This window comes from Homo sapiens, chromosome 7 (assembly GCF_000001405.40).
Source record: "Homo sapiens chromosome 7, GRCh38.p14 Primary Assembly".
Classification (NCBI taxonomy): domain Eukaryota; kingdom Metazoa; phylum Chordata; class Mammalia; order Primates; family Hominidae; genus Homo; species Homo sapiens.
The window spans coordinates 143,283,787-143,311,555 of NC_000007.14; the positions used below are offsets into that span (position 1 = coordinate 143,283,787).

Below are 27,769 nucleotides of genomic sequence, written 5' to 3' on the forward strand. Positions count from 1 at the left end.
GGGCTCTGGGACAGAGAATCTTCAATATCCCACCAGTGCCCACACTTATTACCACTACAGACACAGTTATTCTCATTCCCATACTCTCTCTCTCTCTCTCTCACACACACACACACACACACACCCTCTCCTATGCTTCCCCACCCCAGCTGTCCCTGGGGAGCCTGGATTGGATTTGTGCCCACGGTCTGCAGCTTCCCTCGGTCTGTCTGCTGGTCACCCTCTGAAGGAACGGGGCCCAGTTTTGTTCACCCTCTGGCTCAAGGACCAAGTATGCTTCTACTCACTCTCTACCTCCAAGCACCTACCCTACTCCGACTTAACTGCCTGACCCACAACTAAAAAGAACAGCTCTTTGATCTTCACAGGTGTGGTGAGGCCTGGTGAGAGGGGAGCCTTCTAGTTAGTGACCTACCACGTTTCAGGAACCATGTTAGTTTCCAGGATTCAGAGATGATTAAAACTAATCACGCACCTTGAGAAACTCACAGTGGAAGGAAAATCAGTAAGCAGAAAAATGCTACATAACCAGGTAAATGCTGGGACAAATTTAGGAAGGAACGATGTGGATACACTGGAGCAGGCTCCAAAGCAGCATCACCTCGGAGGAGGATCTTGAAGACTCAAGAGTTAACTGGGTCAAGAAATATACACACTAACACTTCTGACAGGTCTGCAGAATACAGGGAGTCCATAAAAATAGCACTTGGGTAATGGAAGCAGGACACACCATTCCATGCCCACAGCATTACTTTCTGTGTGCAGTGCACTGTGTGATGATCTACAGAGATTAAATAAGCCGAGGTCTCCGCTTCCAGTCACTTGGGAGAGACGCACAAGGTAAATTACCCAAATAGAAGGCAAACTGCCCAGGGCTGTAATTAACATACAATATGCGCCGAGAGGGAAAGGTTAATGCTAACTCCGGTCCTAAGTACAAAGATCATTGGGAGTCAGGGGTGCACTCTCATTAGGGTACAGCATGGGTGGGTGGAGAGAGTAAAAACCAGAACAAATCAAGGTTCAGCAGTTGGAAGTCAGCCTTAGGGAGAAAAGGGGCGGAGACTGACTGGGCCAGAACAGGGATTGGGACAGAAAAAGAGGGTGGGGCCAGTGGGCTCCACCTACCCGCTCCGGCCCTTCCCACCACCCCCCACCCCATCTACTTTCTACAGTCTGTGGAGACAGGTGAGCGACGAACTTCTGAGACAGGTGTGGGTGCGAGGGTCGGGAGGGTCATGGGATTGGGACCGAGGTGTGAGGAGGGAATCTGCAATTCCTTGCTACACAGAGCGCTGGCAACTTCTGACAGGCTGTTTCTGGGGTATGGGCTGCCTCGGGTTGTTGCTGTTACAAGGAAAGAAAAGAGTTCCCCTGCCCACCGCCTCCCAGCCACTGGGCTACCTCCTGGCAGGAAATTTGCAAACTGAGTTTAACAAGTTAGGATCAGCAGAGGGTAGAGGAGGGCCCTGGCAGATGTGGGGTCTAGAAGAGGACAGGAGTTATCAGGGCCTCCGGCCATTGTGCTGGGCCTTTGCCTGTACAATTGTTTCTCAAGCAGTTGTGTCCCTGTGGCTTTGGTGCGCCTGTGTGCACTTTCTCCCTCCACCTGGAGCATGGGCTAACACCGGAGGAAAGGAAAAGACAGAGTCAGACAGGGTAAGTGGGGCTCCCTCCCCTCTTCTCTCTAACGGGGCTGGATTGAGGGCCTCTGGCTGGGGAGGTGGGGGTGGAGATCCAGTAGGAGCAATAACAGAGGAAGGGCAGGGCCTGCCCCATCACCTGAATTCCAGAGATGCCAGTGTGCACTGAAGCCCCAGGCAGGGCGTGCCCAGGACCGGATCCTGGATGGTGGTAAGGGACAAAGCTGGAAGGGAGACTACAGGGAAGGAGAAAGGAAAGAAGGCAGAGCCATGACACAGTCAACTTACAGAATGGCTGGGAGTCAAAGCTCCTGGGCTGGTTTCCTGGCTATTCCACACACTCCAAGACATAGAGAGAATTTCGGAACTGGAGGGGACTCTACAGATGATTTATTTGAGATTGAAGAACCTAGAAACCAAACAAAGAAATATCATATGGTTACTTTGGTATCTGACACAGCCATGACACCAATTGCTAGTGTAGACACAATAGCTGTGTGTCTTTTTGCAGGAGCCTGGGGAGGGGCCATGGTGCCAATGCACTTACTGGGGAGACTGGAGAAGCCGCTTCTCCTCCTGTGCTGCGCCTCCTTCCTACTGGGGCTGGCTTTGCTGGGCATAAAGACGGACATCACCCCCGTTGCTTATTTCTTTCTCACATTGGGTGGCTTCTTCTTGTTTGCCTATCTCCTGGTCCGGTTTCTGGAATGGGGGCTTCGGTCCCAGCTCCAATCAATGCAGACTGAGAGCCCAGGGCCCTCAGGCAATGCACGGTGAGTTAAGGGTGGGCATCGTAAGAGGAATACACCTTGGGCCCATCCTCCCTCTCTCCCTGTAGTCTCTGAGGCAGAGAGTCTCTGGTTTCCTGTCATTGGCATCAGCGGGAGGAGGGGTCAGAGGCCAACAGAGGATCTTTTGCCCACAGCAGACAAAAAAAAGGGAAAAAGGGCTTCTTTCATGGAAGCCACCAATGGCCTTATTTCTCTTCCCTCAGGGACAATGAAGCCTTTGAAGTGCCAGTCTATGAAGAGGCCGTGGTGGGACTAGAATCCCAGTGCCGCCCCCAAGAGTTGGACCAACCACCCCCCTACAGCACTGTTGTGATACCCCCAGCACCTGAGGAGGAACAACCTAGCCATCCAGAGGGGTCCAGGAGAGCCAAACTGGAACAGAGGCGAATGGCCTCAGAGGGGTCCATGGCCCAGGAAGGAAGCCCTGGAAGAGCTCCAATCAACCTTCGGCTTCGGGGACCACGGGCTGTGTCCACTGCTCCTGATCTGCAGAGCTTGGCGGCAGTCCCCACATTAGAGCCTCTGACTCCACCCCCTGCCTATGATGTCTGCTTTGGTCACCCTGATGATGATAGTGTTTTTTATGAGGACAACTGGGCACCCCCTTAAATGACTCTCCCAAGATTTCTCTTCTCTCCACACCAGACCTCGTTCATTTGACTAACATTTTCCAGCGCCTACTATGTGTCAGAAACAAGTGTTTCTGCCTGGACATCATAAATGGGGACTTGGACCCTGAGGAGAGTCAGGCCACGGTAAGCCCTTCCCAGCTGAGATATGGGTGGCATAATTTGAGTCTTCTGGCAACATTTGGTGACCTACCCCATATCCAATATTTCCAGCGTTAGATTGAGGATGAGGTAGGGAGGTGATCCAGAGAAGGCGGAGAAGGAAGAAGTAACCTCTGAGTGGCGGCTATTGCTTCTGTTCCAGGTGCTGTTCGAGCTGTTAGAACCCTTAGGCTTGACAGCTTTGTGAGTTATTATTGAAAAATGAGGATTCCAAGAGTCAGAGGAGTTTGATAATGTGCACGAGGGCACACTGCTAGTAAATAACATTAAAATAACTGGAATGAACTCCTGATCCCAAAGCCTATTGTGTTTTCAACACAAGGTAATAGGAAGCCAAGCAACTTGCATGTCTCCCAATCCCTGTCTAGGGACAGCTGCTGGTGCAGGATGGAAGACTTCCTATAAACAGAATGGGCGACCAATTGTGTCTACAGAGGGGGTGGGCTGAGCATGGGCACGCATGTCCCCAGCCTCCTGGACGAGCAAAGTCAGTCAAAGCGCTGGTGATCCCTGCTCCGCGTGCGTAGCAGTGTCTGTGCCTCTCCTGCCCAGGGGCTAGAGAGCAGTCTCCAGTGCAGGGTCCCCATCCTATCTGAAAACAGTGGAGTCAGTGACCCCAGGTGGAGGGACTTCCAGTTTTAACAATGGGTTGGTATGAAGGCCAGAAGGAGTGAAACATGTGAACTTTCTGGCGAGGAGACTCCCTCTTGAATCATCCATATGTAGCCCCGGGGTCACTTGCGAAGAGTCTCTAACAGCTTCTGCCTCACTCCTAAGCTCTGACCGCTAGGCTTTCACCCCAGCCGCCGGTCCTGATTCCTGAGATCCCAATATTGAGCACCAGGTTTCCTGGAATTGTGTGCTGCGGCTGTGATGTAGGTTTCGGTCGCTGGAAGCTGCTAAACCATAGCTGACGCCCCCTCCTAAGCCAGCCTTCCTTCCCCGCGCGGGCATCTGTCCAGGGCCTTGTCGCGCTCTCAGTCTCCTTCGCAGCCTGGCCCCAACCGTTCAACTTCAATAAAGCAAAACTCCAGCCACGCCCGTCTCCGTGAAGTTATCGCCATAGGCCGGCCAGGGGGCGCGAGAGGCACCGGGGTGATTTCCGCGGGAATCGATAACCAATCGGATTCCCAGGCCGAACGGAGCACACCCGCCCGCCCTCGCTCTTTCCCCGCCCTTTGCCCCGCCCCGCTCCTTCCCCTCCTTTTGTCTGTCCGCCGAGCACCCCACTTCACCCCATTGGACCGCGCGGCCGCCGCTAGAGCTCTGCGCCTGCGCACGCACCGGGCCGGGGACTGGGTGGCCTGGTGTGTGGGCGCGGCAGGGCGCAGGCGCAGGCGCAGTGTGCGTCCGCGTCTGAGGGGAGGGATGTGGGGGAAGCGACGGCCCCCGGTTTGTTTGGGCTGTGGGCGGTGCGCAGCGGAGAGCCCGGGAAAAGCGGGAAATGGCGGCGCCGAGCGCGGGGTCTTGGTCCACCTTCCAGCACAAGGAGCTGATGGCCGCTGACAGGGGACGCAGGTAAGTAGGGAACGGTCTTAGGGCTCCTTAGGGGAGCCCAGGGAAGGGGAGCGTGGCCCCCAGGCGTGCGGCCCTGCAGCCCCCTCCCCTCGGAGCCCCGGAAAGCAGCCGTGTCCGCGCTTCCTGCCAAGGGTGGGACGCCCGCCCGAGCCGCTCCGAGCCTGACTCCGCGCAAGGGCCCGCGGGCGGACCTCTTGGCCTTGTCTCTCGTGGGAAAAGACTGCCCCAGCCTCCCTTTGTTCAACCCACGAGGGTTCTAAAGGGGAGGTCTTTGCAGTCCTGCCCGCTCTTGGGTTCTCTTGAAGATTCTTCATCCTTTCCTCTGGCTCCCTTATGAGGGAAACTATAAAAAGACCATACTCTGTCTCCTTAAAAATCGACGAGACCTTCTGCAGACCTCGGTGCTCTGCCTGATGTGCATTTGATTTGTATCGATTGTATCATGATCTGCATGGCTTTGCATAGAATGACCAGATTTTCAAAGAAGTCAATACAGGGTTTGGAAATTGAGTACTTTTGGCAGAACAAGGGGGTTCCTGTGGCTCCGAGTGTCCATGCCTCTGCCCCGGTCATTCCATTTCATGGCAGTCATCACCCAGGAGAACATTGTAATGCCTCCTGCTCGAGACTGAAGATTAAGGTCTTCGCAAAGGGAACCTGCAGAAGGACACAGAATTAAGACGTAGGAACTCCGTGGTGCCCTTCGCCCCTCCTCCCCTTCCAGTTGTGTCCTGAAATTCTAAATGATTGGAAACTTTTATAATGTTCACGTTTAAGACTCTCATACTACAGAGTAGAGGAAGGAGCGGGTGTGCAGAGGGGGTGATGCTTCAGATTAAAACTAAAGAGTTGATTGAAAATTCAAGTCTGGAACTCGAGAGAGTTAAGAACTATAAGTCAGTAAGTTGCAAGTATGGGTGAGATTGTCTAGGGAAAGGCTCTTTGAAGGGGCGTCCCTAATGGAATATCAATATTAAGGGCAGGCCAAAGGCCCTCTAAAGAAAACAGGAACTGGGTAGGCAGAGAGAAGACTCCCAAAGAATGCTGTCATGGAAACCAGAGGAAGAGAACGATTTAAGGAGCGAATACTACTGGTAAACTAATGGAAGAAATCTGCTGCACCACTGGTTAGTATCCCAGCTGCAGTGTTATATGTGATCGTTATTACTGCTTTGACGTATTCGAAAGTGATTCATTCTTAAATAGGTTTTTTTATTTGTATAGCTCTTTTTCTTGTAGCCAGTTTTTCCTGAAAGTCTTGGGTAATGGAAATATTACAGTAAAAAGAAGAAAAAATGGAGTTTCAGACTCATTTTTCCAAACCTCAGATTCATTGGCTGCTTCCAACCCACTTCATCTGTTTTAGGATCCCACCTGCTATCTTAGTTCTCCCAGTTCTTCCAGGACCCAGCTCTTCCCTCTTCTAACTATAAATCTCTCACCCAATAGCATCTGCAAGCCAAGTGCATCCATTCCATAGATGTGTGGTATTTCACTGACTCTAAGATACACATTTTTTCCCTCCCTTTTTTTTTTTTTTTTTTTTTTTGGACGGAGTCTTTGCTGTGTCACCCAGGCTGGAGTGCAGTGGAATGATCTCAGCTCACTGCAACCTCCATCTCCAAGGTTCAAGCGATTCTCCTGTCTCAGCCTCCCGAGTAGCTAGGACTACAGGCATGCAGCACCACACTCGGCTAATTTTTTGTATTTTTAGTAGAGACAGGGTTTCACCATGTTGGCCAGGCTGGTCTTGAACTCCTGACCTCAGGTGATCTGCCCACCTTAGCCTCCCAAAGTGCAGGGATTACAGGCATGAGCCACCGTGCCCGGCCTCCCCTCATGTTTTAACACCTTAGAAATCAGAATGCATTTTAGAGTAGGTTTTTAAGTTATAAATGGAAGTTATTGTATTTTCACTGCTATCAGGTGCCACCCTTCCTGCTGTTACATATGTGGAAAATGTGACGGGGCAGGCTAGAGAACTCTGGATTTATGTAAACTAGGCATGTAGATGACATATTGGCAATAGGATTATTTTAGTTTATAAGCAGAAGCTGATCTCTTTGCAAGCCTGTAGCAAAATTAGCTGGAGGTGACAGCACATGCCTGTAGTCCCAACTACTTGGGAGGCTGAGGCAGGTGGATCGCTTGAGTCCAGGAGTTCTGGGCTATAGTGTGCTATGCCAGTCACGTGTCCACATTAAGTTCAGCATCAGTGTGGTGATGTCCTGGGAGTCAGGGTCCACCAGGTTGCCTAAGGAAGGGTGAACCCGCCCAGGTCAAAAATGGAGCAAGTCAAAACTCCTGTGCTGCTCTGTAATGGGATCATACCTGTGAATAGCCACTGCACTCCAGCCTGGGTGGCACAGTGAGACTCTTTTAAAGTAAATAGATAAATACCTATCCACTGTGACTTTCTGTCATACTTTCTGCTTATCCACATCTTAACAGGATTCGCCATTTTGTCACTGGAACTTAAAAGTTTTAAAAAACATGTAATTATATGTTTATATCACTAGTGAAAGAGAGTTAGTGTCTGCCTCATTTATTTTCTGTTAAAGCCATTGGCTTGAGTTTTTACCATAGTGTTTTAACCCTCATCTAAGATCATTATAAACTTACATCACTTTCACCAGCTTAGATAATGTGAGATGTTTTCTGAAATAATTCTCTTTATTAAAATTGGTCTATCAGAGAAGTATTCCTTCTCATAAATATGTGTACTTGGGGGTATTGTTTTGCTTAAGACAGATATTTCCCTCCTCTAGTCAGACCATTCATCTCAGATGATCTCAGCTGAACATAAACCATAAGGAATTAGACATTATTTTCTTATGATCAATGTGTTCCTGCTTAGTACATCTTTGCTTTAACCAGATTTAAGAAATATGCATAATCTTGGTTATTGTAAGTCTTATTCTTTTTGTTCTTCCTATTCATGCCTCTTCCACTCCACTCTTCTGTGTCAAATTGTGACTTGACAGCCTTTCCTTCTACCGTTTATCTGTAGGATATTGGGAGTGTGTGGCATGCATCCTCATCATCAGGAAACTCTAAAAAAGAACCGAGTGGTGCTAGCCAAACAGCTGTTGTTGAGCGAATTGTTAGAACATCTTCTGGAGAAGGACATCATCACCTTGGAAATGAGGGAGCTCATCCAGGTATCTGGAGGCAAAAGAGAGAAGATAAATTGATCATGGGGTGGGAATAGAGCATGACAAAATATGGAAAGGGTGTCGTATCTTTCTTCCTTTTTTTTTTTTTTTTTTTTGAGACAGAGTCTCTGTCTCCCAGGCTGGAGTACAATGGCGCGATCTTGGCTCACTGCAGCCTCTGCCTCCCAGGTTCAAGTGATTCTCCTGCCTCAGCCTCCCAAGTAGCTGGGACTACAGGCAGGTGCCACCATGCCTGGCTAATTTTTTGGATTTTTAGTAGAGACAGGGTTTCACTGTGTTAGCCAGGAGGGTGTCGATCTCCTGACCTCATGATCCACCTGCCTCGGCCTCCCAAAGTGCTGGGATTACAGGTGTGAGCCACCACACCCAGCTGGATGTTGTACCTTTCTAAAGAAATGGAAATGCCCTTCTACCGTAGAGCATTTGAGAGAAATGATATATAACTCAAGAATAACAGAAAGGACTTCACCCATACATACACTTTTCCTGTAAAAAGAATTCTTGGATGAGGACACTACTAGGAAGCTCATGTGGAGAAATAGAATTATAGCTAGAGAAGTAAATATGATTTCATGTTTTATTCTTGTGTCTTAGGCCAAAGTGGGCAGTTTCAGCCAGAATGTGGAACTCCTCAACTTGCTGCCTAAGAGGGGTCCCCAAGCTTTTGATGCCTTCTGTGAAGCACTGAGGGAGACCAAGCAAGGCCACCTGGAGGATATGTTGCTCACCACCCTTTCTGGGCTTCAGCATGTACTCCCACCGGTATGAAGCTTTAGTAATATGGGGTGTTGGGAAGGGTTAGTTTGACTGGAAAGGAATTTGTAAGTCAGAGTGAGGGAGACTAGATTTTGTTGTATTTGGACCGGACCACTTCCCTAAGGTCTGTCATCATGAGTTTTGATTTCTTACAGTTGAGCTGTGACTACGACTTGAGTCTCCCTTTTCCGGTGTGTGAGTCCTGTCCCCTTTACAAGAAGCTCCGCCTGTCGACAGGTGAGAATTGATGGACTAAAAGGGGTCCCAGGCCAGGTGCCACGGCTTACGCCTATAATCCCAGCACTTTGCGGGGCCAAGGCGGGTGGATCACCTGAGGTCAGGAGTTCGAGACCAGCCTGGCCAACATGGTGAAACCCCGTCTCTACTAAAAATATAAAAACTAGCTGGGCATGGTGGTGGGTGCCTGTAATCCCAGCTACTCGGGAAGCTGGGGCAGGAGAATTGCTAGAACCCAGGAGACGGAGGTTGCAGTGAGCCAACACGGTGCCACCGCACTCCAGCCTTGCCAACAGAGTGAGACTCAGTCTCAAAAAATAAAATAAAATAAAATAAAAAGGAGGGGGGTGTCCCAGATTGACTTCCCCTTTCTTGTCTGGTATCTGGCTTTGTCCTAACATGAGCCCTTTTTTTTGTTTTTTTTTTTTTTTGTTGTGTTTTTTTTCAGAAATAGGGTCTTGTTCTGTCACCCAGGCTGGAATGCAGTGACACCACCATAGCTCACTGCAGCGTTGAACTCCTGGGTTGAAGGGCTCCTCCTGCCTCAGCCTCCCAAGTACCTGGGATTACAGGTGCATGCCACCACACCTAGCTCATTTTTAAATTTTTTGTAGAGAAGGAGTCTCACTTTGTTACCCAGGCTGGTGTCAAACTTCTGGCCTCAAATGATCCTTCCGCCTTGGCCTCCCAAAGTGCTGGGATTATAGGCGTAAGCCACCATGCCCAGCTGAGACATAGTTTATATTGGGAACAGTTGTCAGTAAATTTGTTAAGGGCTAGTAGGACAGTTTATGCAGGAGTTTGTGGTTTTTTGTTTTTTTTTTTTCTTGTGATGGAGTCTTGCTCTGTCGTCCAGGCTGTAGTGCAATGGTGCAGTCTCGGCTCACTGCAAACTCTGCCTCCTGGGTTCAAGTGATTCTCCTGCCTCAGCCTCCTGAGTAGCTAGGATTACAGGTGCGTGCCACCATACCCAGCTAATTTTTTGTGTTTTTAGTAAGAGATGGGGTTTCACCATCTCCTGACCTCGTGATCTGCCTGCCTCGGCCTCCCAAAGTGTTGGGATTACAGGCATGAGTCACTGCGCCCGGCCCAGGCAAGGTGTTATTAATAGTTGGTCCATTTCCCTTCCACCCCAGATAACAGTTTTTGTGATAATTGGGCCTTTGAGTAGCATGTATGGGCAGGAAGTTCATGCTCAATTGGCCTCTAAAAAGCTGAATAAGAAAAGACTACATTTGGGGCCACCAGCCTGCTGATGGAGCATCCTAGTGATTGGAACGAGGCTTTTATCAGCTAGCCCATTCGGTCATTCAGCCAGTTGAGCATATGCTTCATGCAGGCTATGTGCAGAGAATCCTTTAGTGAGCTAAAACTAAGAGTCTCTGCCCTCATGAAGCTTACAGGTTTGGGTAGTGAGTGAGACCAATATTTATCACAACCCAGTTGCAAGAGATGTCTGAAGTTACAATGACATATTAAGATTGATGGTTAAGTTATATACTAGTTTTTTGGTTTTCTGTCTATACCACAGATACTGTGGAACACTCCCTAGACAATAAAGATGGTCCTGTCTGCCTTCAGGTGAAGCCTTGCACTCCTGAATTTTATCAAACACACTTCCAGCTGGTGAGTTTTTGCATAATGACAAGAGGAAGAGAGTTGGGAAATTAGACACCCTTCCTGGGAACCTGAACTTAGTTTGCATGTACATTTCCTTTCTGCCTTATTAGTCAGAAAGTTGTTACTGGTTAAATGCCTTCTGTGAGCATTTGTCTATTTTTACCTGCTGGAGGTTAAGAAGAAAAATACGATGTCTTTGTTTTCTTGAAATGTCTAATCTAGCCGAGGAATCATCTGTTATCAAGACGCTCATGGTCTAACTGGCCTCTCCTCCACAGGCATATAGGTTGCAGTCTCGGCCTCGTGGCCTAGCACTGGTGTTGAGCAATGTGCACTTCACTGGAGAGAAAGAACTGGAATTTCGCTCTGGAGGGGATGTGGACCACAGTACTCTAGTCACCCTCTTCAAGCTTTTGGGCTATGACGTCCATGTTCTATGTGACCAGACTGCACAGGTACCTGAGGTGGGAAAAATTGACATGTAAATTAGAGGACTGAACAACACTTTGGGACCAGAGACATCGTTTGTTCCTGTGCCTGCTGGGATATGTCTTAAAAGTTGGTTTATTCTACTTACATTTTTACTCACTCTGTTCTGCCTCTCACCTTGCATTCTAGTAAGAAAGAATTAGGGCCGGCCAGCCATTTTAGTGTTGACATCTCAGGTTGTGGTTTCATAAAGTAATAATAGTCCACAGTTGGTGTCTCACTTTTTTTTTTTTTTTTAAAGACAGAGTTTAGCTCTGTCACCCAGGCTGGAGTGCAATGGCACGATCTCGGCTCACTGCAACCTCTGCCTACCAGGTTCAAGCGATTCTCCTGCCTCAGCTTCCTGAGTAGCTGGAACTGCAGGCGCATGCAACCATACCTGGCTTATTGTTGTATTTTTAGTAGAGACGGGGTTTTGCCATGTTGGCCAGGCTGGTCTCAAACTCCTGACCTCAGGTGATCCGTCCCCCTCGGCCTCCCAAAGTGCTGGGATTATAGGCATGAGCTACGGCACCTGGCTGGGAAAGTATTCTTAACATTTGTGTAATCACAAGTCATAGGGTAGATTGTTTGTGGACCAGATTTCTAGAAATTGTAAACATTTTCATTATGGGCTGTTCGTCATTAACCTCAGTTACTGTACTGCACAACTGACTTTGTGACCTTTAGGGTTTCTATTTTGCAATCAATAATGGCCTATTTGTAGATTCATATTCACTCTTTATTTTGATTCCAGAATAGTAGAACTTTCTTCAACTTGCTTTGAGGTTGTCAGTGGTGAAATTAAAATTGCTAGGAGATTCACTTTGATCTGTTGGGATAGAGGATCTTTGTTTTCCATTCAGCATTGTCTGTAGTCTTCATTTCTCTTTCTTAGCTGCCCTCCTTCTGTGAGAGTAATTATGTATTTACTATATTTTTGGCAAGGCCAGTTTCATCCACAGGTACCTGGGTGTTGTCCTTTACATGCTATTTTTGCCAGCTTCCCCCTTGTAGCATATGCAATGTAGTTAAATCCACCCTTGCTTCAAAGCCATGGCAGCAACAGCTGCTTCAGTCATCAAGTATTCAGGTAGTTTATATGCTTTCCTGAGAAGTCTGCTGGGCATAAAGGGGCAAAGGGCAGGGTACCAGCCATAATTCCTACAGAAGGTCACTTAACAAAATGTGCAGTGTGTGTGTTTTCTTAGAGGTTTTGGTCTAGCCATGTCTTTTACTAGAAATCTATTATGTCATGGTTTTTCAAGTTGTATGCAGCTGATAAAGGATCTTACATGTCTAATAGTTAAAGATAAAATACTGAGTCACTAAGTCAACTATATATACTGCTGTTTTCTCAGAGACTGTCAGATTTGGTGAGTTTATGAGCTCACTTCATAAATAGCATTTCCATTTATGGTAAGCCTGATGCATATTCAGTGACCTATTGGATTCTAATTCTTTGGTTGAATTGCTCTGTAACTGGAATTGCAGTAGAGTTGAACTTCAAGCACCTTATAATGGGGGACTATGTGAGCTGCCACAGATTTTAAAGATCAGATGAGGGAGTTTTGACATCAGCATAAAAGGAAGTGTGTCCTCTTATATTCCTAACGACCAAACAAGATTAGAGAAAAAATCTTCTGTCATAGCTAAGAAGAAGAAGCGCCTAGGTAGATATGATCAGAAGGATAAGTGGAGGAGGCAGAACTTAAGCTGGCCTTGAAGGATAGAAGTTACTGAAGCAGAGAGGAGTGGTGAAGCCACCCTAGGCAGGGAGAACAGTATGTGGACAAGAAATGTGTGTGTTATAAACCAGGTAGTTGCAATGGGTGTCATAATTTGGTACACTGGGCATCTGCACAGAATGCTCTCTTCCTGGTGGGATCTCCCTAGAGAGTCAACTCGTTTATCATATAGCTATTTGGCAAGCAAAGAAACAGAACCAAAAAAAAAAAAAAGATCCTTTTTTCTTTCCCTATCAAATCTTTCTTACTTAAGAGAGGAATTCCATTTAAAAACAGGAAATAGTATAATTAGTCTTAGAGACTCCTCTTCCCCTGATAGTGCTGCAGTGAACATGGGTATTCTCACTGCCCAGATGTTTTCACTTTTCTCTTTGTTATTAAGTTTTTATTGCATCTACTTCATGAGGTTACTAGTTCTAGAATTATGATTTACCCTATGTTAGGAAACGTACTCTTCAAAGTGGAAATTTCCTTTTACCATGTGGTATTGTTTTTTTAGCTTGCATTTGGGTCACAAACTGCTTTGAAAATGTAAGGACAAGCTATGGGTTATCCCTGGAAAATGCAGCTGCCCATATAATTTAGCATATAATTTCAGAGGGTTCACAAGTTACTCTCTTCACATGTCCCCCAACCCCTAGCCAAAAATACACTTAGGAGTTAAGAACCCTGCTATTTATAGAAGTACTGTAATTTTATCAAAAACAAATCTGCAGATCCTATTTTAAGCTATGCTACTTGTAGAAAAATTCCTCCAAATGTCTAATCCCCATTTATTGAATGGTTTAGTCTTACTAAGTTTGGTTACAAAGTGCGTGTATTCTTTTTTTGGACATTGTTTTCTATTTACTGACCTAATCTCACTAAATTCAAAATGCTCGTGATTCGGTGCCCAGGTATATAATTTTTGTTTTCTTTTTTTTTATTTTGAGATGGAGTTTCACTTTTGTTGCCCAGGCTAGAGTGCAATGGCGCGATCTGGGCTCATTGCAACCTCTGCCTCCCAGGTTCAAGCAATTCTCCTGTCTCAGCCTCCTGAGTAGCTGGGATTACAGGCGCATGCCACCACGCCCGGCTAATTTTTGTATTTTTAGTAGAGACAGGGTTTCATCACATTGGTCAGGCTGGTCTCAAACTCCTGACCTCAGGTGATCCACCCGCCTCGGCCTCCCGAAGTGCTGGGATTACAGGCGTGAGCCACCGCGCCCGGCCTTTGTTTTCTTCTTTGAGCAAAATTAACTTCTTTAACTATTAAATGTTAAATTCTATTAGCATCAGCTCCAGAGGAACATTCACAGTTATGTATTCTCTTGAAATTATATATTCTTGAAAGAATTTTTTGATTATCTGTCATTACCTTAAGATTTCTATTATTATGGTTTGCTTCTACTTAGAAAATACAGATACTTTTCAACAACACCAGTCTCTTTATTTCTAGTTATATTGCAGACTTTCAAATATTTTATGTAATTGCATCTCAATTATCTACAAACAGAAGTATTCCGAACAGATCAATTAGTAGCTCTCAAACTTTAACATATCACAGTGTCCTGGAGGGCTTGTTAAAACACATTTTGCTGGAGCCCAAGATTTCACGTTTCTTCCAAGTTCCTGGGTGATGCTGCTGTTGCTGCTTTAGGGGCCACTCTGAGAACTACTGCAATATGTTATATTATAGAAGTGTGCTTTTTATTTTGGCAGTGTGTGTGATTAAATATATGTGTGTTTTAACTCTTCCACCCAGATAACTTACTTATTTTCATTACATTTTATTCAAGTTTATAATAAAATGAACTTGTTTTCTTTCTGCCCATCTCAGAAGACCCAGACATCGTGAATTATAGAGGGAGGCATAGGTTTAAACATGTGTGCCCAATTATTATGCTCTTTAGGTACACAGTATAACCTTCTGATGGATGGACCAAATGCTTAAGGTAGTGCTCTTCATGTATCGCAACTTAGTGCAAGATAAACAAGATTCTCCAGGCATGGTGGCACATGCCTATGGTCCCAGCTACTCTAGAGGCTGAGGCAAGAAGATTCCTTGAGCCCAGGAGTTCTAGGCTGTAGTGTGCTATGCTGATCAGGTGTCCAAACTAAGTTCATCATCAATATGGTAACCTCCTGGGAGTGGCGGACCACCAGGTTGCCTAAGGAGGGGTGTACCAGCCCAGGTCAGAAATGGAGCAGGTGAAAACTCCTGTGCTGATCAGTAGTGATCTTACACCTGTAAATAGTCACTGCACTCAAGCCTGGGCAATATAGCAAGATCCTGTCTAAAAAAAAAAAAGATAAACAGGAAAACAGTTCTTAAGTTGGACTACAACATTGACCAGTAATAGATTTCTTTGAGAAAAATACTCTTTATTCGACATGCACATTGTAATGGCACATTTTTTGCAATGTGTCCCAGACACAGTGATCGGTTTTTGGTTTTTTTTTTGAGACAGGGTCTCTCTCTGTCACCCAGGCTACAGTGCAGTGGTGCAGTCACAGCTCACTGCAGCCTCAACTTCCTAGGCTCCAGTGATCCCTCCACCGTAGCCTTTAGAGTAGCTGGGACTATAAGCATGCACCACCATGCCTGGCTAATTTTTTTTTTTAAAGATGGAGTCTTGCTAGGTTGTCCAGGCCAAGTCCTTTGTCATAATATCTCATTTTTATCTTCACAAACTTAGAGAAAATATCCTCATAATTTTTTTTTATAAAGTGAAAAGTGAGGTCTCAAGGGTCTGAGTAAGCTGTTCCAACTCATGAAGCCAAGGTTCAAACCTAGATTAATCTGAACCCAGGACCTGTGTATGTAATTACTGCCCTGTACAGAATCCTCCTTCATAGCGTGCTCTTTCTGAAACAAAGCATTTTATACAGTCATCATCATTATCTCTTGGACACTTAGAATCTTAGAAGACAACATACAAGTATTGCTATTCTCTACTATCATGATGCTGTCACAGAACAGTTTATTTTCGTGTAGCTGAATGTGCATGTTACTTATTCATAGCTACACTTTGAGTCACCCTTGTGCCATTTATATACAAGGGCAGTTGCTCTAATGAAGGATCTGGTTATGAACAGGGAATTAATCAGAGTTGACCAGCTCATGATTAGCTTCTTTAGTAACTTGCTTTAATCCAGGAGCTGTTTGCCTATCTCAGTGAGTCTGAATCTGTATTCAGAATATTGTGTCTGAACTCATATGCATTTTTCTGGTGAGTCCATAGCTTTCTTTAGTCTCTCAAAAGGTCTCTTCTTTTATCATTGACCACAGGAATATACATAAAGCGTTTTATCTTCTAATAGCTTAGGGTTTCAAAAAGAAACCAAACTTTGATGCTTATGTTGGTGCTGACCTTAGTGCACAACACTAAACATTCCTTTCTTTTAGGAAATGCAAGAGAAACTGCAGAATTTTGCACAGTTACCTGCACACCGAGTCACGGACTCCTGCATCGTGGCACTCCTCTCGCATGGTGTGGAGGGCGCCATCTATGGTGTGGATGGGAAACTGCTCCAGGTGCGGATACCCTGGTGGAAGCCAACTGTTGAAACCAGGCTGCTTTACCTCCTGCCTGCTGTCTGTCAAGTGATGGCTACTGTTGCATGTGTAGGACTTAGGAGGCCCCGCTGAATGCTTAACCTCTCTTCTTCCTTCTTTCTTTCTGGCAGCTCCAAGAGGTTTTTCAGCTCTTTGACAACGCCAACTGCCCAAGCCTACAGAACAAACCAAAAATGTTCTTCATCCAGGCCTGCCGTGGAGGTGAGTGCCCTAGCAGACCAGCACCTGGGTGGTGGCTCCTGGGCAGCCTCCCACCAGCTCTCACTTTCCTGTTTGCTCCTCTCAGGTGCTATTGGATCCCTTGGGCACCTCCTTCTGTTCACTGCTGCCACCGCCTCTCTTGCTCTGTAAGTGTCTCCCAATGCATGGGGTGTGCTGGGACTTGGGCAGCCCATGGCTCTCAGGCTGGTCAGCTCTCCGTGCACCACCATATCCTGTTTTCAGGTCTCTTATCCCGTGTCTTTGCCTTCCTTTCTGAGAACTCTTACTCTTTTCTGTGCTTCATTAACTCTGGTGCCCTTTTTTTGGTTACTCATTCCAGTTACGGATTTTTGATCTGTCTTTTTCCTGTCCTTCTTATTTTATCTCCTTTCTTTCACTCTTTGTTCTTTTCACTTGTTCCATATACTTCCCTGTTTACCTACACTTCCATGCTTGCCTCCTTTCTTCTTTCTTCTTACCATTCTTGGGTCATGCAGGATAGCAGAACAGAATCCGTGTTGGCCTTTGACTCTTCCTTTTCCGTGAGCTGCTGCTGCCCCTCTTTCTCTCATGCAGTCTGTTTTACTCCTTTAAGAGCCAGGACTGCAGGACGAGGATTAAAAGACACATAGGTGTGCTTCTCATCCTGGAGGAAAATAATAGTAATTAAGAGCCCTAACTTTGGAGTCAAATTCTGACTTCACCATTTACTAGTAACGTGAAGTTAAAGAAGTTAAATGGCATCCCTCCATCTCAGTTTCCTCAATATAAAATGAAAATAGTCCTTGTACCTACTTCATAAGGTGCTTGTGATGGTTAAATGAGATTATGCATTTAAGGGCTTACATAGCTCAGTACCTGGCTCACAGCACATCCACAAAATATGCCAGCTGTAACTCTTAAAACACGATCAGTGCCGTAAAGGGCTTATAGTTTGCTTTAAAGGTCACTTTGTCCAAACATTCAAATAATTACTTTTTTAATCTCTCATGTGGCCAAATGTAAATAGCTAATATTATTGTCATCCTGATCTAGTATTACCGCAGAATATAGTCTGCTGAGGCCCTGCAACATGACTCAGACTACGGCAGTTACTACCGCAAAAGCAGAAGGAAATGTGGCCTCTCTAAGGAGCAGACCAGTTACTCAGGAAAATAAAGTAAATATACATGAAGTAGCTTAAGACTAGTTCACAGGCCTCATGTAAGCAAAGGTGAAATTAGCAAGGTACAAACTGTACTTAGGAAGGAGTATGCAGTAAGAGTAGATCATTTTAAGTGAGGGTAGTTTAAAGAGATTTTTTAGATAAGATAAGGCTTAATTTGTACCTGGAGTAATTTGATTTACATAGTTATAGAGTAGTATCTAGAGTCTGTCGTAGGAAAGAAACAATACAATATGATAAGTACACTGAGAGGCAGAGGGCATGTTGTGTCTCCCCTCCTCCCAAACAGATGCTCGGATCTGATTTTAAAATAGCATCTGTGTGAGTATGTGAGATGTGGCTGGTCACAATGAAGTGGGTTCACCTCCTTACAAACCTTTAGTCATAACTGAGGTTTTGGACATCAGCAGGTAAAAGTAAGGAACAGTTGGGAGCTTAAGTAAGAAATAATGTGATGAATTGTTTTTCCAGCAAGGTTGCCATGGAGGGGGCTGCACTAAGGAAAGAGGTTATGGGTCAGCAACTTTACTTTTCATTCCCTGCTCTATCCCCAGGCCCAGGGCACTGCCTGATGCATGGTAGCACTTATAAATGTTCAATGAATGGATGAAAATTAATCTGCCTGAAAAACTGTAGGTATTATGTAAAAAACAAATATGAGGATATTGTGACAAAAGAACCAGTGACATTTATTGATTGATGGATCTGTGATATAAAGGTGAGAGAGGAATTCTCCTTTCTCTTTAGCTTGGCCTGTTTCCTTTAGGCGTCTTTACTAACAAAACGACGTTAAATTGTGATTTTCTCATCCTATATCCAGGGATTTAATACACTATTGGATCTGGATAAGGAGTAATTGCTCTTTTCTGGAGTAATCTGGATCTTTTGCTCTGTCTCTCTAACTTTTCTGAAATTAAATCCTTCAAGGAATGACCAGTAGCCAATTGTTCCATTGAAAATTTGAGTTCACCTGTCTTCCTGCTGTATTTGGTTAATATAATTAATGTCTAGAAAAAGCTCCACCCCCCTGCCCCAGTCAGCTTCTAAACTGGAGTGTAAGCTCCATGACGGCAGGAATTTTCTCTTCACTCTATCCCTAGGCCTTAAAGTAAGACAGTGCCCAACACATGGCAGTTGCTTGACACATTTTTATTAAACCTGTGCTTTGGTCCTTTTCCCCCAATTCTTGAAGCTTCCCTTCTTTCCTAGGCTCCCTCGACATTGCATGGATCAGGAAGTACTGTAAAAGAGCATACTCTTACTTTTGATGTGTTGACCTGAGAGTCCTCCCCATCTGTCTTGCCTACTGACAGCACCCCTGCCCACACCCAAAATAAAACAACATCATCAAAAATAAGAGTCTGTCTTGGGATACATAAGGCTTGTATCAAGAGCAAGGATCTGCTCAGGGTATGTTGAGAAATTACTGCTAAAATTGAATAAGGATGATCTTTTTAAATTTTCTGGGAGAAAACAGTCAAGTTCTCCCCACTTTAAGTTTTTCCTCTTAAAATTTTCATAAGGCCAGGTGCAGTGACTCATGCCTATAATCCCAACACTTTGGGAGGCCGAGGCAGAAGGATCACTTGAAGCCAGGAGTTCAAGACAAGCCTGGTCAACGTAGCAAGACCCCATCTCTATTAAAAAAAGAAAAAAAAAGATTTAAAAAGTTATTTTAAAAAATAAATTAAAAATTTTTTTTCTTAAATCTTGGATGCTTGCTATAATTTATCTTATGAAATTAATAAACATAGTGCTTCGAAGATATCAAAACCACCTTGGAAACAACTGATCATACTTAGTTTTATTATTTTTTGATACATAGTTCGAGGTTGTGATTTTTATATAGCATACATATGGTAACCGTATTTGTTATTTATTACCTTGTTTTTTCTTGTTTATGTAATTAAATATATCAATATTTTATTATGTATTGCAATAAAAAGCACTGTGACTCCCAGGCATATTGTTAATTGAACAAGTGAGTTGTGGACTTAGATGATTTTCAGTTCCATTTACAAGGAGTATTTGATTTGGCATTTTCCCTGTCTTACACAGAATGGGAACTGCTCCAACCGCATAGATGTGCATGTGCTTGAGCGTGGTGCCCGGTGTGTATGAGGCATCCCCTGAGTAACAGATGCATGCTGAGAGAGTAATAATTTTTTTTTTTTTTTTTTAGTTTATCAGCCATAGGTTGGAGGCAACAGCTGGAAATGGCTCTTCCCCTTCAAGGTTGTAGGGAACGTGGGCTTGCCTGTGACAGGCCCAAGAGAGATAGGAAGAAGTAACATCATTGTCCATTCTGTCTGCCTTTGTTACAGATGAGACTGATCGTGGGGTTGACCAACAAGATGGAAAGAACCACGCAGGATCCCCTGGGTGCGAGGAGAGTGATGCCGGTAAAGAAAAGTTGCCGAAGATGAGACTGCCCACGCGCTCAGACATGATATGCGGCTATGCCTGCCTCAAAGGTACTTTGAGTTCCAAAAGAGTTGAGTCATACCTCATTTTGTTGCACTTTGCTTTATTGTGCTTTGCAGGTACAGGTTGAGTATCCCTTATCTGAAGTGTTGGAACCAGAAGTGTTTCAGATTTTGGATTTTTTTGTTTTTTTGGATTTTGGAATATTTGCGTTATACTTACTAGTTGAGTATCCCGTATCCAAATATTCTAAATTTAAAACACTCCCATGAGCACCTTCTTTGAGCATCATATTGGCACTTGGAAAGTTTCAGATTTTGAAGCATTTCAGATTTTTTGGATTTGGGATGCTCAGCTGCTTTTTACAAATTGAAGGTTTGTGGCAATCCTTTGAGCATCTGTCAGCACCATTTTTCTATTGGCATGCCTCTGTTAGCATTTTTCAGCAATAAAGTATGTTTTAATTACAGCATATGCATGTTTTAGACATAATGTTGTTGCACACTTAATAGACTGTAGGATAGTAACCATAACTTCCGTATACACTGGGAGACCTGAAAATTTGTATGACTTGCTTTATTGCCATATTCACTTTCTTAAGCTGGTCTGGAAACAGACCTACGGTATCTCCAAAGTATGCCAATAATCCAAAAGAGTACCCTCCTAGACTTAGATTCTTCATGCTGGGTTCTCTGACTAGGGAGGGTGCAGGTGTCATGGCCGAGTCTAGTTTGGGAAGTGCAGCTGTGTGATGGCATTCACACTGTGATTAATGCCCTTTTGGTTGCAGGGACTGCCGCCATGCGGAACACCAAACGAGGTTCCTGGTACATCGAGGCTCTTGCTCAAGTGTTTTCTGAGCGGGCTTGTGATATGCACGTGGCCGACATGCTGGTTAAGGTGAGCCAGCGGGCTCCGTGACCCCTGTGTGTCTCCACAGTGCTCTACTTTCCTCCTCTCTTGAATGCTCTTTCATAGTCCGTCTCCCCTTCCCGTTTGCTGCTCTCCTGAAGCCCGAGATTCTCAGACTTGGGCCTATTGGTTCTGCCCCTCCAGGTGAACGCACTTATCAAGGATCGGGAAGGTTATGCTCCTGGCACAGAATTCCACCGGTGCAAGGAGATGTCTGAATACTGCAGCACTCTGTGCCGCCACCTCTACCTGTTCCCAGGACACCCTCCCACATGATGTCACCTCCCCATCATCCACGCCAAGTGGAAGCCACTGGACCACAGGAGGTGTGATAGAGCCTTTGATCTTCAGGATGCACGGTTTCTGTTCTGCCCCCTCAGGGATGTGGGAATCTCCCAGACTTGTTTCCTGTGCCCATCATCTCTGCCTTTGAGTGTGGGACTCCAGGCCAGCTCCTTTTCTGTGAAGCCCTTTGCCTGTAGAGCCAGCCTTGGTTGGACCTATTGCCAGGAATGTTTCAGCTGCAGTTGAAGAGCCTGACAAGTGAAGTTGTAAACACAGTGTGGTTATGGGGAGAGGGCATATAAATTCCCCATATTTGTGTTCAGTTCCAGCTTTTGTAGATGGCACTTTAGTGATTGCTTTTATTACATTAGTTAAGATGTCTGAGAGACCATCTCCTATCTTTTATTTCATTCATATCCTCCGCCCTTTTTGTCCTAGAGTGAGAGTTTGGAAGGTGTCCAAATTTAATGTAGACATTATCTTTTGGCTCTGAAGAAGCAAACATGACTAGAGACGCACCTTGCTGCAGTGTCCAGAAGCGGCCTGTGCGTTCCCTTCAGTACTGCAGCGCCACCCAGTGGAAGGACACTCTTGGCTCGTTTGGGCTCAAGGCACCGCAGCCTGTCAGCCAACATTGCCTTGCATTTGTACCTTATTGATCTTTGCCCATGGAAGTCTCAAAGATCTTTCGTTGGTTGTTTCTCTGAGCTTTGTTACTGAAATGAGCCTCGTGGGGAGCATCAGAGAAGGCCAGGAAGAATGGTGTGTTTCCCTAGACTCTGTAACCACCTCTCTGTCTTTTTCCTTCCTGAGAAACGTCCATCTCTCTCCCTTACTATTCCCACTTTCATTCAATCAACCTGCACTTCATATCTAGATTTCTAGAAAAGCTTCCTAGCTTATCTCCCTGCTTCATATCTCTCCCTTCTTTACCTTCATTTCATCCTGTTGGCTGCTGCCACCAAATCTGTCTAGAATCCTGCTTTACAGGATCATGTAAATGCTCAAAGATGTAATGTAGTTCTTTGTTCCTGCTTTCTCTTTCAGTATTAAACTCTCCTTTGATATTATGTGGCTTTTATTTCAGTGCCATACATGTTATTGTTTTCAACCTAGAAACCTTTATCCCTGCTTATCTGAAACTTCCCAACTTCCCTGTTCTTTAAGACTTTTTTTTTTTTTTTTTTTTTTTTTGAGACAGAGTCTCGCTCTGTCGCCCAGGCTGGAGGGCAGTGGCACGATCTCAGCTCACTGCAAGCTCCAACTCCCGGGTTCACGCCATTCTCCTGCCTCAGCCTTCCAAGTAGCTGGGACTACAGGTGCCCGCCACCGTGCCCGGCTAATTTTTTTGTATTTTTAGTAGAGACAGGGTTTCACCATGTTAGCCGGGATGGTCTTGATCTCCTGACCTCATGATCCACCCACCTCAGCCTCCCAAAGTGTTGGGATTACAGGCGTGAGCCACTGCGCCCGGGCAAGACCTTTTTTTAAAAAAAAAAAAAAAAAAACTTCCATTCTTTCTTCCTCCAGTCTGTTCTCACATAACAGAGTAGTTTTGGTTTTTAATTTTTTTTGGTTGTTTGCTGTTTTTTGTTTTTTAAGGTGAGTTCTCACTATGTTTCTCAGACTGGTCTCGAACTCCTGGCCTCAAGCCATCTTCCCGCCTCAGCCTCTCAAATAGCTGGGCTTACAGGCATGAGCCACCACACCTGGCCAGGATTTGGTTGTTTAAATATAAATCTGATCACCCCCCTGCTTAGAACCCTTCTGCTTTCTATTACCCCTCATTTAAAATGTAAACTCTTCACCTTGGTTTATGAGAACTGGTTCTTGCCTTCCCCTTGAACCTCATTAAATGGTGATTTCTTGCTAAGCTCCAGCCCGAGTGGTCTCCTCTCAGCTTCTAATTTTGTGCTCTTTCCTGCCCTTTTCCTGGGCCTTCTCAGCTCTCCACCCCCACCACTCTTGACTCAGGTGGTGTCCTTCTTCCTCAAGTCTTGACAATTCCCGGGCCCTTCAGTCCCTGAGCAGTCTACTTCTGTGTCTGTCACCACATCTTGTCTTTTCCCCTCATTGCATTTATTGCAGTTTATATATATGCTACTTTTACTTGTTCATTTCTGTCTCCCCTACCAGGCTGTAAATGAGGGCAGAAACCTTGTTTGTTTTATTCACCATCATGTACCAAGTGCTTGGCACATAGTGGGCCTTCATTAAATGTTTGTTGAATAAAAGAGGGAAGAAGGCAAGCCAACCTTAGCTACAATCCTACCTTTTGATAAAATGTTCCTTTTGACAATATACACGGATTATTATTTGTACTTTGTTTTTCCATGTGTTTTGCTTTTATCCACTGGCATTTTTAGCTCCTTGAAGACATATCATGTGTGAGATAACTTCCTTCACATCTCCCATGGTCCCTAGCAAAATGCTAGGCCTGTAGTAGTCAAGGTGCTCAATAAATATTTGTTTGGGTGGTTTGTGAGCCTTGCTGCCAAGTCCTGCCTTTGGGTCGACATAGTATGGAAGTATTTGAGAGAGAGAACCTTTCCACTCCCACTGCCAGGATTTTGTATTGCCATCGGGTGCCAAATAAATGCTCATATTTATTACTGATGTGTGCTCAATATCTGTTTCTGTAGATACTCAGTCCTCTGAAGCCCACAGATTTCGTTTCCTTAGCCCCTTACACTGCAGCATTCCTTACCACCTCACAAGGCATACCCAGACCTGAAAACCCTTCTTATTTTGCTGCTGTGATCCTGTAAATATATGCAGGTGTGGGCCCATCTCAGTTTGCGTAGTCCTGGGATTTCTCACAGATGAAATGGAAGTTATTAGCAAACAGTGCTGGTTCTTGATTATTTAGACTATGAGATGTAGGCTGCCATAACAGATTGGGCTGGAATAGAAGGATGGGAGAGTGAAGATAGTAAAATTCCATTTCTTACCTGGTTGCATTTAAGGTCTTCTAGAGTGGGCATAGATTGTAAGAGAATTCTAGTGCAGCATAGAAGAGATCAAAGCAATGAATTTGTGTAAGTTGGGATATTTTGGGGGTGCATTGTATCTAAAGGATATGCCTGAGAGGTAAGTGCAGGTGCAGATGGGCCATGGAATTTGGCAAGAGATGGAATGTTCTGTAGGAACTTTGTACAGAAGTTTTGGTAGGAAACAAAACTTTTTTTTTTAAATACGGGATTTCACCATGTTGGCCAGGCTGGTCTCTAACTCCTGGCCTCAAGTGATCAGCCCGCTTCGGCCTCCCAAAGTGCTAGGATTATAGGTATGAGCCACCTATAACAAACCAGAAACAAAACTTTTTTGTTTGGTAGGAAACAGCTGTGGGAGCTGGAAATATTGTTGAGTCATACAGAGAAGGGTATGGCAGTCTAGGAAGAGCAGAAGGGGATTGAGGTGAGCTGAAGCACCTCGGCAGATAGAGCAGAATTTGGTACAGAACACTGGAGACAAAAGGGCATGAAAAATGGACTGAAACTGGTTGGTTGTACTGCAAGAAAAACAACCATGGGATAGCCTCAAGGGAAGGATACAAAATCTAGGACAGGCGAAGAAATTATGGAAATAGTGGAAGTAAGATAAATACCCATTTTCAGGATAGGAAGCATTTTCAGTGGTGTGATATGTTTGAGAATTACAGAGCAGTATCTCTGAACTGGATTCCATGTCCTCCCCGCCCCCCAACCCCCTTGCCCTTGAATAAGGGTATGAGGTTGAATTTCACAGCTCTGCTCCCTTCTGCTTACCTCTGCCAGAGGATTCTCTTCTAAAATTATTCCCCTCCCAGAGCTGGGGGCTGCCCTCTGCTGCCCTCCTCCATCCTGTTTCCTCTAATAGGGAAAAGGAAAACAGGAAGAAGGAAAAACTGTAATATCAGACCAAAGCTGATTTTTTTTTAATTTTTAAAATTTTATTCTATAAAATAGAGATGAGGTCTCACTATGTTGTTCACACTGGTTTCAAACATCTGGGTTCAAGTGATCCTCCTACCTCGGCCTCCCAGAGTACTGGGATCACAGACATGAGCCACCACACCCAACCAAAGCTGTGATATTAAGAATGGTGCCAGACTGGCCGGGCGCAGTGGCTCATGCCTGTAATCCCAGCACTTTGGGAAGCTGAGGCAGGTGGATCACCTGGGCTCAAGAGTTTGGGACCAGCCTGGGCAAAATGGCAAAACCCCGTCTCTAAAAAATAAAGAATGAGGCCAGGCACAGTAACACATACGTATAGTACCAGCTACTCAAGAGGCTAAGGAGAGAGGATTGCTTGAGCCCAGGAGTTGAAAACCAGCCTAGGCAACATAGTGAGACCCCCATCTTTAAAAAAAAAAAAAAAAAAACACACACACAACACAAGAGGAAAGACGTCTAATCTGAGAAGGAGGAAGACATTAATAATAGCTACAACTGTTTGAGTCCTTGGTATGTTGTAGGCATTGAGAGGAGCTTTCCATTTCATCTTCCCCATGCTTCTGTGAAGGAGTCATTTTCCCTTTTGTTTTTGAAACAATTTTGCTGTTGTTGCCCAGGCTGGAGTACAATGGCGTGATCTCAGCTCACTGCAACGTCTGCCTCCCAGGTTCAAGCGATTCTCCTGTCTCAGCCTCCCGAGTAGCTGTGATTACAGGCACACGCCACCACACCCAGCTAATTTTTGTATTTTTAGTAGAGATGGGATTTCACCATGTTGCCCAGGCTGGTCTTGAACTCCTGAGCTCAGGTGATTCACCCACCTCAGCCTCCCAAAGTGCTGGGATTATAGGCGTGAGTGAGCCACCGCGCCTGGCCACAAATGTAGCTTTAACGGTATGGACTCTAGAATTCAGTAGATCTGATTTTGAATGCCGGCTCTGCCTTTGAAGATATTGGAGACCTTGATCAAGGTAGCTAACACAGCCCCAATTTCCCTTATTTGAAAATGAGGAAAATTGTGTCTACCTTCCAATGTCCCTATGAGGATTAAATGTGATGATGCATGTAAATCACATGGTGTTAATGCATAAAAAATGCTTGATAAATGTTAACTCACAGAATGAGCTTCAGTTTAATATGAGTGAACAGTTCTTACTATGAATCAAACACTATAGCACATTTTTGTTTTGTTTTGAGATGGGGTCTCACTCTGTCGTGAGGCTGGAGTGCAGTGGTGTGATCTCGGCTCACTGCAATCTCCGTCTCCCGGGTTCAAGTGATTCTCCTACCTCAGCCTCCCGAGTAGCTGGGATTACAGGCGCACGCCACCACGCCCAGCTAATTTTTGTATTTTAAGCACAGACGGGATTTCACCATGTTGGCCAGGATGGTCTCAATCTCTTGACCTCGTTATCCACCCACCTTGGCCTCCCAAAGTGCTGAGATTACAGGTGTGAGCCACCGCACCCAGCCTATAGCATGTTTTTTTGCATGTGTTATTTTATCTTCTTAACCCTCTAGTTACTTCCTTTCTGAGGAAACTGAGGTCAGGATGTGAAACCAAAGCTGTCAGTTTGAGCGTATGCTAACAGCCTTGCTTCTGTGACTTATTCTGGCATGAAGGATTTTTTTCTTCCTTTTTTTGGGCTGTAAGATTCCTCCCATTGGGCTGTGGGAATGAAACTGAGACCCAAACCTTATTCCATCTTAAGTCCTAATTAGGTAGGAGTTTGGGGGAAAATGTATCATGTTTGAAAAGCCAGAAGGGGGAGAAGGAGACCTGTCGAATACTACAGGGAAAGCCTGACGTGCAGGGGATGGGAAAGGACTAAGGATGCTTAAAGAATAAGGAGGCTGGCTGGGCGTGGTGGCTCACGCCTGTAATCCCAGCACTTTGGGAGTCCGAGGCGGGCGGATCATGAGGTCAGGAGATCTAGACCATCCTGACTAACACGGTGAAACCCCATCTCTACTAAAACATACAAAAAATTAGCTGGGCGTGGTGGCGGGCGCCTGTAGTCCCAGCTACTCCGGAGGCTGAGGCAGGAGAATGGCGTGAACCCGGGAGGCGGAGCTTGCAGTGAGCCGAGATCGCGCCACTGCACTCCAGCCTGGGCGACAGAGCGAGACTCCGTCTCAAAAAAAAAAAATAAAAAAGAATAAGGAGGCAAGCCACAATAAAGAGGAGAGGAGACATGACCGCCAGTGGCATACAATACAAAGTGTCTTCAGAGGAAGTTGTAGCTTAGCTGAAATTTCAGAAAGTAGGTGGCCACGGGTTCCATGGCTGCCTGGATATGCAGAGGGAAAGTGATGACTGAAAACACCTTTAAAGAACATAAGGGTTTTACTGCCCACTATGCTGGGGAGGCCAGACTGGAAGACGTGAGAGTCTGAAAACAAGGGTGTAACCCAGAAAGAAAATTCTTTCACCTATACCCAACACAAAACTTCTCCTCCATGTATCTTGCATGGCAACTTTTTACGATTTTCCTTCAAATAGCAATTCTATAAGCCTATGGGCTTTTAAACTTTTTGTA

The 27,769-nt window shown here is 45.3% G+C and overlaps 2 protein-coding genes, 1 long non-coding RNA gene and 2 pseudogenes across 16 annotated transcripts in view, besides 2 other annotated features; 4 read left to right on the forward strand and 1 right to left on the reverse strand.

Moving 5' to 3' along the window:
- Positions 1 to 2,548, reverse strand: part of TMEM139-AS1 (TMEM139 antisense RNA 1) — a 31,036-nt gene extending 28,488 nt beyond the window's left edge. Inside the window, exons 1-2 of the long non-coding RNA NR_133932.1 lie at positions 2,191 to 2,548; positions 1,932 to 2,052 (exon numbers count right to left, since the gene is read on the reverse strand). This is a non-coding gene — a long non-coding RNA (TMEM139 antisense RNA 1). The remainder of the gene's footprint in view (positions 1 to 1,931; positions 2,053 to 2,190) is intronic.
- TMEM139 (transmembrane protein 139) lies at positions 1,113 to 4,263 on the forward strand. 12 transcript variants are annotated; one of them, NM_001242774.3, is made up of 5 exons: positions 1,172 to 1,212; positions 1,562 to 1,659; positions 1,768 to 1,854; positions 2,155 to 2,416; positions 2,638 to 4,262. In NM_001242774.3, exons 4-5 carry the CDS (start codon positions 2,172 to 2,174, stop codon positions 3,041 to 3,043), a joined length of 651 nt encoding a protein of 216 aa, NP_001229703.1. In that variant the 5' UTR covers positions 1,172 to 1,212; positions 1,562 to 1,659; positions 1,768 to 1,854; positions 2,155 to 2,171; the 3' UTR covers positions 3,044 to 4,262. The 12 variants fall into 12 exon arrangements, 6 of the variants coding, with proteins under 6 accessions (NP_001269806.1, NP_001229702.1, NP_699176.1 ...); NM_001282877.1 differs by lacking the exon at positions 1,768 to 1,854 and having other exon boundaries at positions 1,113 to 1,188; positions 1,559 to 1,659; positions 2,638 to 4,263; NM_001242773.2 differs by lacking the exon at positions 1,768 to 1,854 and having other exon boundaries at positions 1,113 to 1,188; positions 2,638 to 4,263.
- Positions 1,198 to 2,397: an enhancer, noted in NCBI's record as "MED14-independent group 3 enhancer chr7:142982077-142983276 (GRCh37/hg19 assembly coordinates)". NCBI's record gives its function as "activates an origin of replication core promoter dependent on BRD2, BRD4, P300/CBP and CDK7 cofactors, and independent of MED14, by STARR-seq in HCT116 cells {active_cell/tissue: HCT116}" and the evidence as "EXISTENCE:reporter gene assay evidence [ECO:0000049][PMID:35650434]".
- Positions 4,192 to 4,941: a silencer, noted in NCBI's record as "silent region_18720". NCBI's record gives its function as "represses an Ori minimal core promoter by ATAC-STARR-seq in GM12878 lymphoblastoid cells {active_cell/tissue: GM12878}" and the evidence as "EXISTENCE:reporter gene assay evidence [ECO:0000049][PMID:35858748]".
- CASP2 (caspase 2) lies at positions 4,565 to 23,910 on the forward strand. Of its 3 annotated transcripts, NM_001224.5 has the most exons (12): positions 5,802 to 5,870; positions 7,754 to 7,904; positions 8,514 to 8,681; positions 8,831 to 8,912; positions 10,444 to 10,538; positions 10,811 to 10,987; positions 16,137 to 16,265; positions 16,418 to 16,508; positions 16,594 to 16,654; positions 19,998 to 20,147; positions 20,888 to 20,997; positions 21,154 to 23,910. In NM_001224.5, the coding sequence occupies exons 2-10, from the start codon at positions 7,773 to 7,775 to the stop codon at positions 19,999 to 20,001; spliced, it is 939 nt and encodes a 312-aa protein (NP_001215.1). In that variant the 5' UTR covers positions 5,802 to 5,870; positions 7,754 to 7,772; the 3' UTR covers positions 20,002 to 20,147; positions 20,888 to 20,997; positions 21,154 to 23,910. The 3 variants fall into 3 exon arrangements, with proteins under 3 accessions (NP_116764.2, NP_116765.2, NP_001215.1); NM_032982.4 differs by lacking the exons at positions 5,802 to 5,870; positions 16,594 to 16,654 and adding an exon at positions 4,565 to 4,743; NM_032983.4 differs by lacking the exons at positions 5,802 to 5,870; positions 8,831 to 8,912; positions 16,594 to 16,654 and adding an exon at positions 4,565 to 4,743 and having other exon boundaries at positions 8,514 to 8,595; positions 10,494 to 10,538.
- Positions 6,835 to 7,118, forward strand: RN7SL535P (RNA, 7SL, cytoplasmic 535, pseudogene; annotated as a pseudogene).
- RN7SL481P (RNA, 7SL, cytoplasmic 481, pseudogene) lies at positions 14,731 to 15,026 on the forward strand (annotated as a pseudogene).

What these genes read in the sequence shown, in the direction of transcription:
- CASP2 (NM_032982.4), top strand. Translation starts at nt 4,670, where the DNA reads ATGGCGGCGCCGAGCGCGGGGTCTTGGTCCACCTTCCAGCACAAGGAG. An exon ending in AAATGAGGGAGCTCATCCAG is followed by an intron (nt 7,905 to 8,513) that starts GTATCTGGAGGC and finishes CTTGTGTCTTAG; the next exon opens with GCCAAAGTGGGCAGTTTCAG. An exon ending in TATGTGACCAGACTGCACAG is followed by an intron (nt 10,988 to 16,136) that starts GTACCTGAGGTG and finishes CCTTTCTTTTAG; the next exon opens with GAAATGCAAGAGAAACTGCA.
- TMEM139 (NM_001282877.1), top strand. Translation starts at nt 2,172, where the DNA reads ATGGTGCCAATGCACTTACTGGGGAGACTGGAGAAGCCGCTTCTCCTC. An exon ending in GGGCCCTCAGGCAATGCACG is followed by an intron (nt 2,417 to 2,637) that starts GTGAGTTAAGGG and finishes CTCTTCCCTCAG; the next exon opens with GGACAATGAAGCCTTTGAAG.